Consider the following 18,775-nt stretch of genomic DNA (forward strand, 5'->3'; position numbering starts at 1 on the left):
TATGAGCTTGATAATGGCTGTTTTGGCTCATGTTGCTTCAAACATTTTTGCTTATTTTTATTTTCACTGTTGTTATATAGTAAGTTAAGATTGCTAGAAGTGTGAGTACTAGCAATCTTAATTTACGATAGTTAAGAACAATATTGTGCTTTTCCAAATTATGTATTAATTCAGGCATACCTTTTATTCGTTCATTATTCCACTGTTTCACATAGTTCAGAAAATATTGATTGGACTACAACTATATACTAAGTATGTCCTGTTAGATGGTAGGAATGTATAAGATACAGAAGATAAAACCTTCCTTTGAGGAACAGATGGACAAATTCAGTGCTACATATCAAAAATTTCTTGCCATCCGTACCTGCTGATTTAACACTTTCTAACAGTGTCTCTCCTGAAGAAGACAGGGGAAAGTGTAGAGTAAGATTTACTTTTTATTATAATGTAGTTAAAATGTAATCTCTAGGCTGGGCGCAGTGGCTCACGCCTGTAATCCCGGCACTTTGGGAGGCTGAGGCGGGGCAGATCACGAGGTCAGGAGATCGAGACCATCCTGGCTAACACGGTGAAACCCCGTCTCTACTAAAAATACAAAAAATTAGCCGGGCGTGGTGGTGGGTGCCTGTCCCAGCTACTCGGGAGGCTGAGGCAGGAGAATGGCGTGAACCTGGGAGGCGGAGCTTGCAGTGAGCAGAGATCGCGCCACTGCACTCCAGCCTGGGCGAAAGAGTCCGTCTCAAAAAAAAAAAAAAAGAAATGTCATCTGTAGGAACTTTTTTCTAAAAGTGGAAAACACATGTTCATTAATAAATTTTCAAGAATCAAACTTAATGTATCTATTCACTGGAGATAAAATAAGGAAAAAATGAAATGACAAACAGTGGCTATCATACTTGGAAAAATATATCAAAGTTACATTGCCAAAATGATATTCAAAACCCCATTCCTGGTGTTCTACATATCTATAATGATTCAGATTGGTTGATAATATTGATAATTTCTCTACTTTCCCAGTGTTAACAAAGTCTAAATCACAGATTCCGTTGAGTTTAGAGAAACAAAGTATATAAAAAAGCTTTTTTCACCCGCCTTAATCATTACTGGCAAGTATGTAGTTTGTCATAGAAAACAAATATGCATACCTTGGTTTGCTTTTACTTTATAAAGTCAATTCACAAAGTAGAGTTCAACAATTATTTAATTCAATGATTTAATTTGGTTTCATCAGATACAGAGATAGAGTGGTATGTTTGATGATATTGATGATTATTACTGTTGTCTAGAAATACTTAAATTGATGTTTATGCTTTAATTAACTCAGAAGAGTACCTTTATGTCAGTTAATAAAAATAAATAATCTTAAATGATAAATCAGAAATATTAGGAAAGCAAGACTGTTTTGTACTTGGGTGTGTTGAAAGAACATGTATGATGAGATGGGTTACAAATTGTAAGATGAAATATTTTTCCAGACTCTCATTGCTTATACTTTGAAGGTTACCATTTAATACTGAACACAAGATGCACTTCATTTCTATGAAAGCAGACATTATGATGTCATTTCATCTATTCACCATGTTCCACAGGAACCTGCTATGAATTATGAGGCCACCACTTAGAATTGAAACTGTAGAAGATTGTAAGCATTCTAAGCCGACATGCACATGCTTCCTATTTTAGACCTCACTGATCTTCAGATAACATATGGTGGTACAAGTAATTGGAAAATTGGCACACCTGTCAAGAAAGTATACTAGATGGGGCAAAAAAATGCCATGCTGGAGCACATGAAGTGTCTTAGCAATTAAATTTATTGTTTTTTGTCAAGCAGTGAAGTAAAAATATCTAGCTCATCCCCTGCAAAGAACACTTTTCAGTGGCAGGTGTTTCCAAAGTAATTTTTAGGGCATTGTTAAAATTGGTTGCTTTTAAAAACATACAGAAAATTTTAATGTGTTCTATAAAACAGCACCTATTGCAAATATTTAAATGTTACATAATTTTACCATTTGTGTTTAGGATTATTAGAATCACAGTAGTTCATAGTTCTACAGATGCAGTTAAAATCTGTCAAGTATAGCTGATAAATGCTCTAAAGTTTATATTTTAATGTTTTCTAAAATTTATTTCACAGGAAGATGAAAATGAAGCTGAAAGAAAAAATATATCTCAGGAGCTCAACATGGAACAGAAAAATCCAAAGAAATAAAAGATTTTCTGTAGTGTTTTTGAAAAGTTTGCAGCTTATGTAATAGCAGATAAAATTTCTAATTGTAAAATGTTAAATTGTAAAATCTAATTTGCAAAATGTTCTCAATAAAGTCATTCAAAATGAAATAGGAGCTTGTATTTGGAATTCGTATATTTTAGAGTAATTTCGACTTTTTTATTCAAAAGCTGGACCTTTAAAAGTTTTTAAAAGGAGAAAAATTCTTAACTCAAATTTGAGAACAGAGACAGAATGTTATTTTTTTTGTAACCTAACTGTTAACACATTTAAATGACCTAAAAAAAAAACCTCTGAAAGTCTTTTTTCTTCTTACTAGACTCTGTGTTCTTCTTTAAGGGCCTTAACATAATTTTGATTATCAATATAAAGAAAAACCAACATAGTTCAAAAATGAACAGGGAATGCTTGCACATGAAAATGGTTAAAACCAGTCAATGCCACAAGGAGAAATACTGTTTCCTGATTTCATCTATTTATATATTACACGATACTCTAGGACTGCAGGGAAAGACTAAAAAGAAATGATAATTTGACGGTCTCTGGCAGAAGTAATGCCATGATTTATAATTTATAAAACATTTACTAAGGACCTGCTGTGTGCAAGGTCCCACACACTATTCCTGGACATTTCAAGAATAGTTCTTTTATGTATTTCTTTGGCTTAGAAATTTTTCAAAATTCACCTGTCCCCTGTCTTTATCAGAGTTCTCAGTAACCAGCCTCTTTACTCTCCCCGGTTCTAATTTCCAAGCTGCCATTTGCCAATGACAGGAAGAGCAATGAATCTGCTTGCTATTTGCAGAGCCAAGTGTTTTTGGCAGATGTCTTTGTTTGATTATTTAAGGCAGAGTTTCTTAAAATGAGAGGCAGAGCTTTGGGAGGCTTGCAAGAGAATGTGAGAGTGGAATCAGTGTATTTGCCTTGAAGCCATATTATATGCATTCAACAAGCCCAATAAATGTGTGACAGCAGGATACGCTGGCAGCTATGATACATTGGGCTGAGATGGAGGAAACTGCAAGTAGTTAAGACAGAAAAATCAAAAGGATAGTCTCAAATAATCTCAGTACGCATGTCAGGAAAACAACTAGAGCCCACAGATGGGATCCCTGGACTAATGAATTCCCTGGATGAATTTTGGAGCAAAGACTTTAAGCCAAAGAAAAGGTTGAGATGGCAGTTCAGAGTCTGCAGGGAGCCTTTGCAATAGGCAAATATAAAAATTAATTTGACACTTTTCCCACATCAATTTATTTCAAAATACCCACATTCACATAGATTTGGGTCATATCAGTAGTTTTACTTTTAAAAAGAAGAAATAATACATGATTCACATAAAAGCTAACATGTTACAGGTACTATGCTAAATGTTTAACGTGTCATGCCACTTAATTATCAACTTACAGGTTAGGTACTGTTGCTTTTACCATTTTACCAAAGATCAATCCAAGGCTTAGACAGGGGAAATAGATTAACAAAGGTTATGTAACTTGTAATTGGCAGAGTAAGAGTTCAGACTCAAGAGTGTTACCACAGAATATGACACTTAATCATTGTGTAATACTAATACCATATGTCATTTGTTCCACTGTCTTTCCTAAAAATGTACAGTCTTATTAGCACTTCATTCATCACCTGCTTCCTCTTTAGTTATTTCTCTTCTCCAATCTCTTAGTTGCGCTTTAGTTTATTTTGAAGACTTTGATTTAAGTAAAATAAGTGAAAGCATTGTAACCACTATTCTGTGTGCTCCGTAACATGCTAATCCTGCTTTATGTTTTTTTTTTTAACACCAAGTTATCATGGAACAAGGATGGAAGCACCTATTTCTTCTCTAAGATTTTTCAAGAAATTTTTGGCCATATTTTTCAGCAGATTGTTCAGTTATTAGTATGCTGTTATCTCATCATTTCACACTTGCATTTATGAAATGAAACTGTTAGTGTGAGTCACAGTGACACTTAGCCACCTTGCAGGCATTTTAAATATTAAATTTAAATGGTATCTTTGATCATTTAAAACCCAGTTTTCCTTTTCAGAAAGTTTTTCGAAAATATATACCCCTTGGTTTAGGATGGTCAGTAATAAAGTAAAATCAATTTACATTTCCTTTAGGAAAAATTTCTGTATGAATCACTCAGATTTTTAGGGCTCATACCATTATGTTGTGTATATACACATATAAGTCTTAGAATGCTACAAGATTATGTGACTGTGATTAAGCCAGTCGCTTTATTTGAGTCAAATGTTTCATATTTTATATAGAATGTTTTACATATTAATCGGCTCAGGCTGCCATAACAAAATATCTGAGTGGGTGGCTTAAACAACAGAAAATTTTTTTCTCACAGTTCTGGAAGGTGGAAGTTCCAGATCAAAATCCAGCAGGGTTCAGTTTCTGTTGAGGACTGTCTTCTGGCTTGCAGATGGCCTGCATCCTACACGGCCTTTCCTTTGTGCACGCACAGAGAGAGGGAGGAAGTGAGTGAGCCTCTGGCATCTTCCTGTAGGGACATTAATCCTATCAGATCAGGATTATGATCTCTTAACCTTAATTCCATCCTTACTGCAAATACAGCTACCCTGGGAGTTAGGGCTTCAACACAGGAATTTCGATGGGGTGGGGGAGGAGGGACACATTCAGTTCATAATACATTTAAATAAAGTCCAAGTACCTCTGTTATAATAATTCTGAGCTATGTTAAGGAGCACTGGAGCAAAATCCCAATGAAATGTCTATGGCAATATAGATTAGATGTATTTAGGGAGAGTCCTTATAAACGTTGATAACTGGGATATCTATCTATAAGTCGATTTCTAAAGAAGACAAACCACTAAAAAAAAAAGGAGCTGTTTTGTTTACCTCTTTATCCCTATTACCTAGCTCATTTTTTGGCCTATACTAGGTGTAACACTGTGACTGTAAGTCAGCCTGTAACTTGCACTGTAGAATACCCTAAGAACAAGAATTTTATGATACCTGTATAATTTTTACTTACTGAACCGAACTATCTTCTCTTCATGCTAGTTATTTGAGTTGTATTTCTTCATACCTTCCAAGAATTTAAAAATAAAAGAACTTTAAATGAGTATTTGTTTCTATCATATTTAGGAAAAGCATGGTTTTTTAAATTGTATCCAGTATCATACTCTTTCCTCCAGTCTAGGGAACAAATAGCAGAAGCGGGAAGGGATATTATGCTACTCTTGAATGGAAATTGCTGGGCACTAAGATGCTCAAGTTTTTTAAATCATTCAACAAAGCTTTAGTAGGACCTACTATAAGATATACTGTTCTGCTTATCACTGGGGATTCAATGACAGACAAGCTTACTGTGCTGTTACGGTCTTGAAATTCTTAGCTTTTGAAAAAGAGACCCCATGGTTTTATTTTTCACTGACCTCACAGATTACGTAGTAGATACCACTAATGTTTATACTCTTTAAGTCAATTTTATTGGAGTATATTTTACATAAAATTCACTCATGTTGTATGTGCAATTCAGTAAGTTTCAACAAATACATATATTCATGTAACCACCTCTCCAAGATATAAAGCATTTCCATCACCCGAAAAGCTTCTGTCCTTCAGTTTTGCAATCATTTACACACCCCCACTATAGCCACCGATCTACTTTCTTTATTTGTTTTCCCTTTTCTAAGACTTTATACAAATGGAATTATATCACACACATCTTTTGTGTGTGGCTTTCTTCACTCAGCATAAAGTTTTGACATTCATCCAAGTTATTGCATGACTTCATTTCTTCTTATTGCTGAGTACTTTTCATTGTGTGAATATACTACAATTATACTGTGTGAATACTACTACAATGGAATATATACAGATGGCCAAAAAACACATGAAAATATACTCAACATCATTAGTTATCAGGAAAATGCAAATTAAAACCACAATGAGTTACCACTGTATACCCGCTGAAATGTCTATAGCTCTGTTATCAGCTATATAAACAGCAGCTATTAAAAATGTGTAGCTATTGAATACTTGAAATATGACTAGTCCCAATTGAGATGTGTTGTAAACATATAAATCAGATTTTGGAGCTAGAGTGCAAAAAAAAATCCATAATTTTTACTCTGATTACATGTTGAAATGATAATATTTTGAATAGATTTGATTAAAATTTTAAAATAAATTTCAACTATTCTTTTTAAATTGTGGCTACTAGAAAATTTGAATTTATATATTATAGTTTCCATTGTTTTCCCACTGGACGGGCCTCCTGGGCTATAATTTGAAGGCCGATAATGAAATGTTGGTAAGGTTATGAAGCAACTGGAACTCGTCATACATTGTTGGTAGAAGTGTAAAATGATACATTATTTTGGCAAAGAGTTTGGAAATTTCTTATGAAGTTAAACATACCCTTAATATACGACCCAGTAATTCCACTAATAGATATTACAAAAAGAAATGAAAGCATGTGCCCTCACAAAGATTTGTACATGAATTTTTTTTAAGATCTTGCTATGTTGCCCAGGCTGGATTTCAACTCCTGATCCTCCTACCTTGGCCTCCCAAAATGCTGAGAGTACAGGCGTGAGCCACTGTACTCAGCCTTGTACATGAATAACTTTTTATTATTTTTTTTTTTTTGAGACGGAGTCTCGCTCTGTCGCCCAGGCCGGACTGCGGACTGCAGTGGCGCAATCTCGGCTCACTGCAAGCTCCGCTTCCTGGGTTCACACCATTCTCCTGCCTCAGCCTCCCGAGTAGCTGGGACTACAGGCGCCCGCCACCGCGCCCGGCTAATTTTTTATATTTTTTTAGTAGAGACGGGGTTTCACCTTGTTAGCCAGGATGGTCTCGATCTCCTGACCTCATGTTCCACCCGCCTCGGCCTCCCAAAGTGCTGGGATTACAGGCGTGAGCCACATGAATATTTTTAACAGCTTTATTTATAGTAGCCCAAAACTGGAGCTAATTTCTTTTTCTTTTCAAGTAAAAGTCCCACTTCATACTGGTTATTCTTTTCAGAAACCATTTGTCACACTAAGCTGTGTGGTGTAGTTCACAAAATTAGGGTTTGACCCTTGATATTTTAGGGGGGATATTTGATGTGTAATATTTATAGCACCAGTGTAAATGTTAGAATCACTGTCTATAAAACATGTTAATGAAAGACCTAAAAAAACTAAACAATATACAAAATTTTTTACAAATCCAACATTCAAAAACTAGTCAGTTCATATCTAGAGGCAAAAAATAAAAATAGTGTATATCTTATTTGAAAACATTTAATGTAGTTAAAGTCTTTAAATGATTTCACATTGTTTTAATGGTCTTTGAATGACCCTTGCAGTTAGAAATACATTTAAACTCAATTTTAAAATTATAAAATTATAGCTATATCTTCTGATAAATTGCATCTACTTTCCTGGGGATTAGAAAGCTTGAATGAGGGGAAAAGCAGAGGTGTGTGCCCAGTTGCTCCAATTTTAAGTCTATGAACAATTTTGAGTCTATGAACTGCTTTAGGTTTCATTTTTATACATACCATACCAAATAGGACATACTCTTCTCAGGATATAGTCATTTTTCATTTGTGACTTTCTAATCATCCAGATAGAATGAGGTGAGTCTGAGTAGTTTTGTTCCTCTAATATTTTTTGAAAGGGGATAATGATATTCTTATTGCTCACTTTATATATGTATATTCTTTCTGTAAAATGTTCTTAAGATTTTATACAAATGAAATTATGTTATACATACCTTTTGTGTCTGGCTTTCTTCACTCAGCATAAAGTTTTGAGATTCATCCAAGTTATTGCATGACTGTAATTATTCCTTACACTAATGATTTTCCTCTAAGCTTAAACAGTTGGAGGCATTTGATATGTCTGTACTCTCCTACATTCATTATAAATTTGTCTAGTTTTTCCCAGATGCAATAAACTATTCCTCTTTAAATTGAATGTATACCAAACAAAAAAGGGGAATCTTTCCTACAACTGCTTCTTTCACATGGCTACATCAGATTTATTTTGAAGCCCGTTGAGAAAGAAGAAGTAAGTTCATTTCATTGCTTCGGCATTTCCCCAGTGCCTGGAGTCCTTGAGGCCTGCACATATTTCTACTGGTTGTGTGCTAACACTGCTTGGGACTGAAACAACGTACTTCTGACATTAGGCTCAACAAGATTCACTTTGAATAGTGAAAGTTGATTAGAAAACTACTCCATTTCTCATTACCTCAAGAAAACAATTTTTACATAGCCATGAATGAGCAAATTTCACCCCCATCCAAGACTATCCTGAGCATTTATAGCAGGTAATAAATGTCTTCCCATGGTGAATTCAATGTGAAGTCCAAGGCTTTGTTATCTAGAGAGGAAGTTAAGTGCTAACAGCAACAGCATGAAAACGCATGCAGCTATGGTATAATTCTGATTTGTTTTAGAAAAACTATTAATTTCCTTGTTACAAAGCCAAGTAAGAATAACCCTTTAAAACTCTTGAACCATGAAAGCCATTTTCCTTAAGGGTTTTAAATTTGGGAACAGACTCCTGAAATTTATAGCTTTGATGAGATATTCTTTGCCTGCAGTCAAGATGAGAGCTAGATCATTGGTTTCCCAGCATGACACCTATGTGTTCTTGTGTGCACTAGATATCATTAAGCTCATAATAACACAGCCAGCATCACATTTAACGTTTGAAAGGTTCACTTTTGTCTCGTAGTTTACATCTTTCATTTGCACCTATTGCATGCTAAATATCCCACTCTAGAAAATGAGATACACTCTACCTATATTGATACCGTCGATGGAGTAAAAAAAAATTACTATTTTCATATCCATGACTTTCAAGCTGCAAAGAGTCAATAGATAATGACTTCTAGAAACAACAGATAATTGAATCAGATATTACATGTGTAAGTCTGAATATGAAAACCTTCCCTGACATTTAAGGAGCAGAAAATGTGAATCTCCATGATGCATGTCAGTTCCAACTGTTATCATTTTTAATATTATGTTTAATTCTAAAGGTGATGCAAGATTATTATTTCTTTTAAAGATAGATGAGCTCTTTCAGGATATTCTGATTTTAAGGCAATGAGAAAGACAGCTTATTAGGTAGTACCTAATGATCAGAAACAGATAATAAACACTGCAGGAATCCATCATTGTATGTTACATGATGAAATAACATGAAAAAACTCTGAAGAAAAGAAAACTACTGTTTTCAAAATTCATTATTTTCTGACATTAGGCAATGAAATTGTGATTAAGGAACCTATTTCTGCAAGCTGTTTCCTTAAATTTGTGCAAATGTTTGAAGGTATTTTATCTGTAAGTTTACAATTCCTTTACCATTTATTATTATCAACAATTTCAAACATATACAAGACTTGAGAGAAGAGTACAGTGAATCCCCATGTACTCAGGACCCAGATGAACAACTATTAAGATTTTTGCCATGCTTGCCTTATCTGTCCCTTCTTTCCCTTTCTACCAAATTGTCTTAAAGCAGATCCCAGATGGCCATGCTTTTTAACATGCATGTTTTTCTCCTCTCAACAATTCTTTTTTAATTAAATATGTTTAATATATACATATTTTTCCATGGCAGATGCATATTTTGTTTTTGAATAATGTAAGATGGTCAGTAGATTAATACATAATGGAAGATTGGATGACAGTACAGTCTGCCTAATGCACTTCAGACTATGTTTTTAGTGAGATTCAAAAGAAGATTTTTGTTTTGATCTTTTTAATGGTGATGATGTAAGCAGCAGAAATTATACAGACTCTTAGTTCACATTTGCATTTTTTGCACCTTAGGCAGAAAAACAGAACTAATCAGAGCTACAAATCATAAAGGAGAACACATTTCAACCTCCAGAGCACTGTGGAACTGAGATATCTTACTGATGATACTAACAAGAGACAAAACTAGCACATTCAGCAATGCCTTCAAAAATGTTACCTTGTTAGTAAAAATCAAATTAACAAATAGAACATCTGTTCGGGGTTATGATTATTTCTCCTAGGGAATGCTTTTTTTGAGACTATATATTTTTGGCAAGTATTGATTTGGGATTTATGTATTTGATTATATCTAACTCTAGAAGTCAGGAATAGTCAGTCTTACAGAAAATGTTTTAGTAGATTTCCTTCATTGTCCCTAGACACATCACATTTGGGAGTTTCTTATTCCCTCATCCTAGTTCTAGTCTACCTTTCCTGGGGAACAATTTCTGCTCAAGACCTTTCCTTCACAACTGCACCTTTCCTAGACCCCTCTAAAATCAACCTCTTTTTCCTTCTCCCCTCAAAACCCAGAATCTCTTTCCCACGGATTCCACATCCTCCTTTCAGTTATAACACAAGAAAATAGTTGAAAAATATGGTGAGTAAATTCTTCATGAGTATATTAGTCAGGCTAGACTAGGATATGCTATGAAAACAATCCCTGACATCTCGGTGGCTTAAACAAACAAAAGTTCACTTCTCACTCACACCACTGCCTGATGTGAATCAGGTGGCTCTTCTTGGAGAAGAACTGCCTCATGGATTCATGTGTTCATATTGCAACTTCACCATTTGAGTGTTCTTCGTGGAGAGCAGTAGGGTGGGGGCTGGAGTGAGATTGAGAGAATGAAGAATCAACTCATACTTCATTCCTTCAGACTCTGCTGCATCACTTCCATCCACATATCTAGTGGCAAGAACTGAGTGCCATGGTTCCAACCTAAGGATAAGGGAAGCTGAGAAAGGTAAGGTGGTCTTGGATGTGTGCCCGATAAGAGGCAACACTGCTAACTAAACACAGAGCATTGAATATATCTCAATTCCTTTTCTTGTCATTTGAAAACTGTCTTAACATATTTCCCCCTCTACCCAGAAGCACTGTAACATATGGCATGACTCTTAAGAGCATTGGGTTTTTATTTTATTTTATTTTTATTTTTATTTTTTGAGACGGAGTCTCACTCTGTTGCCCAGGCTGGAGTGCAATGGCGCGATCTCGGCTCACTGCAAGCCCTGCCTCCCGGGTTCAAGCGATTCTCCCACCTCAGCCTCTGGAGTAGCTGGGATTACAAGCACCCGCCATCACACCCAACTAATTTTTGTATTTTCAGTTCAGACGGGGTTTCACCATGTTGGCCAGGCTGGTCTTGAACTCCTGACCTCAGGTGATCCACCTGCCTTGGCCTCCCAAAGTGCCGGGATTACAGGTGTGAGTCGCTGCGCCCAGCCTAGGGCATAGGTTTTGAATTAGACCAGCCTGATTTCCAATCCCAGCTTCAACACTTCTTGTGTTACCCTGTGCAAGTAACTTAACCTGTCTAAGCCTTAGTTTTCTAGGCTGTGAAATAGAGATAATATCCAGGTTTCATGCTTTTCTACTTATATTGTGGTAAAAAACACATAACATTTACCATCTTTACCATTTTTAAGTGTTCAGTACTGTCATGTTAAGTAGATGCATATTATTATACAACAGATCTCTATAACTTCTCATCCTGCAAAACTGAAACTCTGTGGCCACTGAACAAAAGTCTTCTTTCTTCTCGCCCCTCAGTCCCTGGCTACCACCGTTCTCCTTTCTGCTTCTAAAAAGTTTGACTACTTTAAATACCTCATATAAATGAAATCGCACAATGTTTGCCTTTTGTGACTGGCTTATTTCACTTAGTGTAATGTCTTCAAGGTTGATATGTTATGGCATATGATAATATTCTCTTTTTAAGGCTGAAAAATATTCCATTTTCACACAAACACACTATTTTCTTTTATTCGTTCGTCAATGGACATTTAGTTTGCTTCTACATTTTGGCTATTGCAAATTGTGAATAATGCTGCAATGAATATGAGTGGATTCAATTATTTCATCTACAGACCCAGAAGTGACATTGCTGGATTATATAGTAATTTTATTTTTAATTTTCTGATGAACCTCCATGCTGTTTTTCATAGCAGCTGCACCATTTACATTCCCATCAACAGTGCATAAGGGTTTCAATTTTTCCACATCCTTGTCAACACTTATTATTCTCTGTTTTTGGGGGTAGAGGCCATCCTAACAGGTGTAAGATGATGTCTCATCATGGTTTCGATTTGCGTTTCCCAATGATTAGGGATGCTGAGCACATTTTCATATGTTTTTGGCCATTTCTTCTTTTGAGGAATATCTATGCAAGTCCTTGGCCCATCTTTTAATTAGATTGCTTTTTATTGTTGTTGAGTTGTAGGAGTTCTTTATATACTCAAGATATTAGTCTGTTGTCAGATATGTGGTTTGAAAACATATATACTGTCATGTTATATAATATTTATTATATATTATATGTGTTATATATGTATATTATATATGTCATATTATGTATTATATAATATATTATATAAACATAAATATATAAGCATATACACATATATTACATAATATATAGTATGTATAATACATTATATATGACATATATATAATGTATATATACATAATATATAATATATAATGTATTATACATAATATATAATATATAATGTATTATACATAATATATAATATATAATGATATATATTTATATATCATTATATATTGTATATTATATTATATATTATATTATACATATTATAATATATAATATATTATATATTATTATATTATATATATTATAATATATTATATATTATATTATATATATTATAATATATTATATATTATATTATATATATTATAATATATTATATATTATATTATATATATTATATTATATTATATATAATATAATATATTATATATTATATTATATAATATATTATATTATATTATATTATATATTATATTATATAATATATTATATTATATATTATAATATAATATGTTATATATTATATTATATTATATATATTATAATATATTATATTATATTATATTATATATTATATTATATATATTATATTATATTATATATAATATAATATATTATATATTATATTATATAATATATTATATTATATTATATTATATATTATAATATAATATATTATATTATATATTATATTATATATAATATGACATATATTATATAATATATAACATATTATATATAATATAATATATATGACATATTATATAATATATAACATGTTATATATTATATAATATATGACATATTATATAATATATAACGTATTATATATTATATAATATATATAACATATTATATATTATCTTCCATTCTGTAGGTTGCCTTTCACTCTGTTGATTGTTTCCTTTGATGTGCAGAAGTTCCTAAGTTTGATGTAGTCCCGTTTATCTCTTTTTGCTTTTGTTGCCTGTGCTTTTGGTGTCATATCCAGAAAATCATAGCCAAATTCAATGGCATAAAGTTTTTCTCCTATGTTACTTCTGGGAGTTTTATAGTTTCAGGTTTTGTGTTTGAATCTTTGGTTCATTTTTACTTGATTTTATATATGTTGTAAGGTAACATTTTTGCATGTAGATATTCAGATTCATAGCACCATTTGTTTAAAGCATGCTTTTCTTCTTTACCCTGTTTTTCTGTCTTGGTTCATGAAACAGGAACTTCTTTAAATTCTTTTAAACTCTCACCCTCTCGGGCAGTAATTGAGGAAAGGACTTCCACCTTTCTCTTTGCCTATTCCTAGCTTCATTCCATTGTAGGAGAGACTTTTTGGATTACTGTTTATGTTTCACATCCCTTGCTTCACTCCTCGGCCATGTGATAGCCTCATATCAGAAACCAGGTGAGTGAGTCAGTACAATTTAGTGGCAAAATTGTATATAGCCTATTTTCAAGTACAATCCAGCTTTACCAAAAATAGGCTGATGTCATATTTTAAATTTCCACTTGGCTTCTTTGTATGCTTCTCAACTGGTTCAGAATCCAGGGAGAATAAGCAGTGACGTAGTAACCAGGCTTGCTCAGAACCTCAAACATAATTTTTAATAAAGATTAGAAGAGATGATATATATAAAGCACTTAGCACGACCTGTTCCATCATGCATATTCAATAAGAGTACTGACTATTTGGGGTCTGTCAACTGCCCTTCTTCTTTCACTGACACATTCTCCAGAGACTGGATCACTACTTTAGTTTTATTACTGCTCCCCAAATTATACCATCCATTGTGACCATTCTTCTGCTTTAATATTTATGATTGTTTCTTAACTCATTCGTCAAACAGTCTCTATTATAAGACACACACTGTGTGGAGCACTGTCTCCGCCCACAAACAGCTCACGGTCTGGTAGGAGCGACATACAGACACAGAAAGTTGTCATGAGTAAGCGCTGGACAGAGCTTGATAAAGGGTGCCCTAGAACGCAGAGGTGAGGAAGCTACATAAACCTGGGGGTGGGAAAACTTTCCGTAAAAACGATACTTGAGTCTACCTTTGAAGGCAAGGGATTTCATCAGATGTAAATAGTGGGAATACTGTTTCAAAGGGACAAAATAGCAACGTGCGATGTTAAAGGGTTTTCAAAGGTTAAAGATGCTTCTGTGTGTCTGGATCCAAGAAAATGCCAGGCAGAAAGTGCTAGGCGCAGAATCTGGGAATATAGGATGAGACTTTCCTGTGAAAGGCTTTGAGGGTTTGCTTGAAGCACTTGGATTTAGTTCTGCAGAATTGGATACATATTAAAATCACATGGGGCTAAGGAAATAGCTACGATGGCTACATAACTTTGTAAACGTAACTAATGCCACAGAACTGTACACATAAAATGATTAAAATGGCAAGTTTTATGTTGTATATATTTTACTACAATTTTAAAAATTAATAATGGAATATGCCAAAAAACATTGAATTGTATACTTTAAATGGGTGAATTATGTGGTATGTGAATCACATCTCAATAATTCTGTTTGAAAAAAAACATTTATAACCTAGGCAATGTAGCGACACCTCATCTCTACAAAAAGTAATTTTTAAAAAATTAGCTGGGCGTGGTGGTGCATGCCTGTTGTTCCACCTACTTGAGAGGCTGAGACAAGACGATCCCTTGAGCTCAGGAGTTCGAGGCTCCCGTGAGTTGTGATTGCACCACTGCACTCCAGCCTAGGTGACAGAAAAGGATTCTGTCTCGGAAAAATAATTAAAAAAGAAAAGATTTAAGCTTTAAAATCATAAAATCACATGAGGAGCTACAAAAACAAACGAACGAATGAACAAACAGAAAAACCTGACCCTTGACCAATTGGAGGTGGGCCGAGCATCTGGCACCTTGAAAAGTACTCCAGGTGATTCTAATGTGCAGTCTTGGTGCAGAATCACTGCTATAGACAATGGAGAACCAGTGACAAATTTTAATTTGGAGAACAAGGTGATCAGGCTTGCATTTTAGGCAATCTGGTCTGTCAATTGTGTGAATCATAGATCCCTGGTCTTTCTGCTCAGATCTTTCAGGAGCCACAGGAATGCTCACAGAGATGTTATGCATAGCAGCCAGAACATGGAAACAACTCGAATGCTCAACTGGCAACTAGACAAATAGACTCTGGTATATTCATATAATGGAAAGCAACTCATCAATAAAAAGCTCCCACTACCTTGGCCATATTAACCCTATGTATTTCTGGTGCCTCAAACTATTTGCCAAGGCAGAATCTGCATTGTTTTTTTTGGCTGCCCTGCCAAGCCTATCTCTATTATTATTATTTGAGATAGGAACTTGCTTTGTTGCCTAGGCTGGAGTGCAGTGGTGTGGTCATAGCTCACTACAGCCTTAAACTCCTGTGCTCAAGCAATCCTCCCACCTCAGCCTCCTGAGTAGCTGGGACTACAGGCACACATCACCGAACCTGGCTGATGTTGTATTCTTTTGTAGAGATGAGGTCTCACTATGTTGTCAGGGCTGGTCTCAAACTCCTGGCCTCAAGTGATCCTCCCCGCTTGGCATCCCAAAATGCAAGGGTTAGAGGCATGAGCCACAGCTTCTGGCCCCAAGCTTTTCTATTCACCTCAGCAATATCACTCTCCAATTGTCACCCAAGCCAGAATCCTCATTCCTTTTTCCTTAATTTATAAAAGTTATGATTTACATATAATAAAATTTGCACTTCTAATTGCAGTTCTGTGTGTTTTCACAAAATGCACAGTTGTGTAACCATTACCACAATTAAGAGAGAGAAGAATCCCATCACACTCAAAAATTCCCCTGTGTCCCTGTGTAGTCAACTGTCAATGCCTCCTCTGTGCCCCAACCACAGACAACCACTAGTCCATTTTCTGTCTCATACTATTGCCTTTTTCAAAATAGGGTATAAATGAAATCATACAATATGTAGCCTTTTGAGTGGGCTTCTTTCACTTCAACTAAATCATTCATGTTGTTACATCAGACGCTCATTCCTTTTTATTGCTGAGTGATGTTCCTTTGTATGGAGGTACCACAGTCTGTTTACCCATTCACCAGCTGAGAGACATTTGAATGGTTTCCGGTTTTTAGTGATTATGAATAAAATTGCTGTAAATATTTGTGTAAGGATCTTTGTAATGGCATAGTTTTTATTTCTCTTGAAAGAAGTATACATTCAAATTCATAAGATTCTGTAACAGCTTACATTCCCACCAGCAATGAAAATTGTTACAGTTGCTTCATATCTCTACATCTCACTAGCACTTGGGATTGCCAGTTTTTTGTTTTTGATTTGCTTTCCTTTGTCTTGTTTTTGTCCATTCAAATGAGTCTGTGGTGGTATTTCATTGTGGTTTTAATTTGTATTTCCCTAATGACTAATGATGTTGAATAGTTTTTATGTGCCTATTTGCCATCTATATATATTCTCTGCCGAAATGTTTGTTCCAATATTCTGTCCCTTTTTCTATTGGGTCGTTTGCTTTCAAAGTCATTTTTTAATGTCCCTGAGTGCTTTTCTCTATGACTGAGGCAGTCAGTTGCTCTTTCATGGTAATAATCTAATTTTCTTTTTCCCTCATGTTTTCTAGAACTAGTAGCATCCTTTTGTTATATTCATTTGCCTTTCTTTCTTTCTTTGAGACTATTCTCTCATAAAGTCAATGTCTTCAAACACCCCTCTTCACCTAATGAAGCTTTGAACTCTGGCCTTTAACTTCTTCCTCTAGATAATTCAAACTTCCTCATTAATACACATGGCTCCAACCCTACATTTAACTGAGGTTATCTTGCAATGTCTTCTCTTCTCTATTCTCCCAAATATACTTTCCTCCCTCTTTCTCTCCCTTTGAAGGGCTTTAGTAGGGAGTAATGGTGTGTTACTCAACTCCAGCTACTTCTCTCTTCCAGTAAGGCTGAGACTTTTTTTCTGTTAACGTGCCTAAAGGTAACCTCATTTCACCACCAAAGGAATTCATGTTTACCACCTTAACCACCTAGGCCAGTCTATGCGACAGGGCCAGACTCACAACCTGGACTATGCTTCCTTGCCTGTAGTTCTTCACTTGTAGTTCTTTTCAATAGCAGAGTCCCCTAGGGCTTTACTCTTTATTAATTTATTTTAAAATACCTATGACTTTCAGGAGCATGTCTATTATGAGAGAGAAATCCCAAACCACTTTATAAACACATAATCCACAAATGCTCATTGAGGCTTTAGTTTTGCTACACTACTTGTGTCAGAATGGAGAGCAAAATGATACCGAAAGCTCTACGTGAGTCAGAGAAACTCTTAAGGTTGCCCCTGTCAAAAAGAAAAAGAGGAAGACATTTGTCAAAGGTGGCAAGATAGATTTTATTTAAGCTAGTACAGCAGTGGAGAGAGACTCCACTATGCTAAGACAGAAAGCAGGAGGCCTTTTTAACTCTGGAATGTGCTAAAGAAAACATACTGAAGGCCGTTATGAGGCAAGGTCTGTCAATGTGATTAAGCCATCCAGTCTGCCAACTGCTGCTATTTAAATTAGGTTCCTACCCTCCTACAGAGACTGGGAGCTAGGGACCCTATCTGTCTTGATGGTTACATTTCAAAGGGATGACTCCTAGGTCCTTGAGAAAGACATTTCTGGTTGTAGAAGATTTACATCTCAAAGGAGCTGAGAAAGAATTTACAATTGCAAGTTTTCTAAAGTAAATGCTCTAAGAGAAGGGAGGTCAGGGGCTAGGTTCTAGCTGGAAGAAACAGTAAATTCTTCTGGCAGTGTTGAGGTTTCTCAGAGAAACATTATAGGGGGCCTGATATCATCATCCTACGGACATAGCCTTCAGTGGACAGACGCCATGCTAGAATTTGTTCAAGTCTCCTACTCTGGGTGATAGCAAAGTCATCTGTGTCAAGAGTTTTACAGTCCTCACCCCCACGTTCCCTACCTCCTGATATTTATACCTTTGTTTAATCTTCTCTCTCTGAGTGCAGGTGAGACTTATGACTTGCTTCTATCTAAGTGATTATGATAAATATGACAGGATGAACATGAATCACATATGTAATTATGTTACATAAAATGGTAATGCCTGGCTAGGCATGGCGGCTCATGCCTATAATTCCAGCACTTTGGGAGGCTGAGGCAGGCAGATCACTTGAGGTCGGGAGTTCGAGACCAGCCTGGCCAACATGGTGAAACCCA

General features: G+C 35.0%; 1 protein-coding gene across 2 annotated transcripts in view, besides 1 other annotated feature; it reads left to right on the forward strand.

Moving 5' to 3' along the window:
• PHF14 (PHD finger protein 14) overlaps positions 1-2,340 on the forward strand; it is a 195,747-nt gene extending 193,407 nt beyond the window's left edge. For both annotated transcript variants that reach the window (NR_033436.2, NM_001007157.2), the window contains one exon: positions 2,138-2,340. Coding sequence is in view for 1 of the 2 variants with exons in the window: in NM_001007157.2 (NP_001007158.1) it covers positions 2,138-2,212 (75 nt within the window). In the remaining variant the exon portion in view is untranslated. The remainder of the gene's footprint in view (positions 1-2,137) is intronic.
• Positions 17,835-18,378: an enhancer, noted in NCBI's record as "OCT4-NANOG-H3K27ac hESC enhancer chr7:11224740-11225283 (GRCh37/hg19 assembly coordinates)". NCBI's record gives its function as "activates a minimal SCP1, AML or CMV promoter by ChIP-STARR-seq in primed H9 embryonic stem cells {active_cell/tissue: H9 hESC(primed)}" and the evidence as "EXISTENCE:reporter gene assay evidence [ECO:0000049][PMID:30033119]".

This window comes from Homo sapiens, chromosome 7 (assembly GCF_000001405.40).
Source record: "Homo sapiens chromosome 7, GRCh38.p14 Primary Assembly".
NCBI classification, from domain to species: Eukaryota; Metazoa; Chordata; class Mammalia; order Primates; family Hominidae; genus Homo; species Homo sapiens.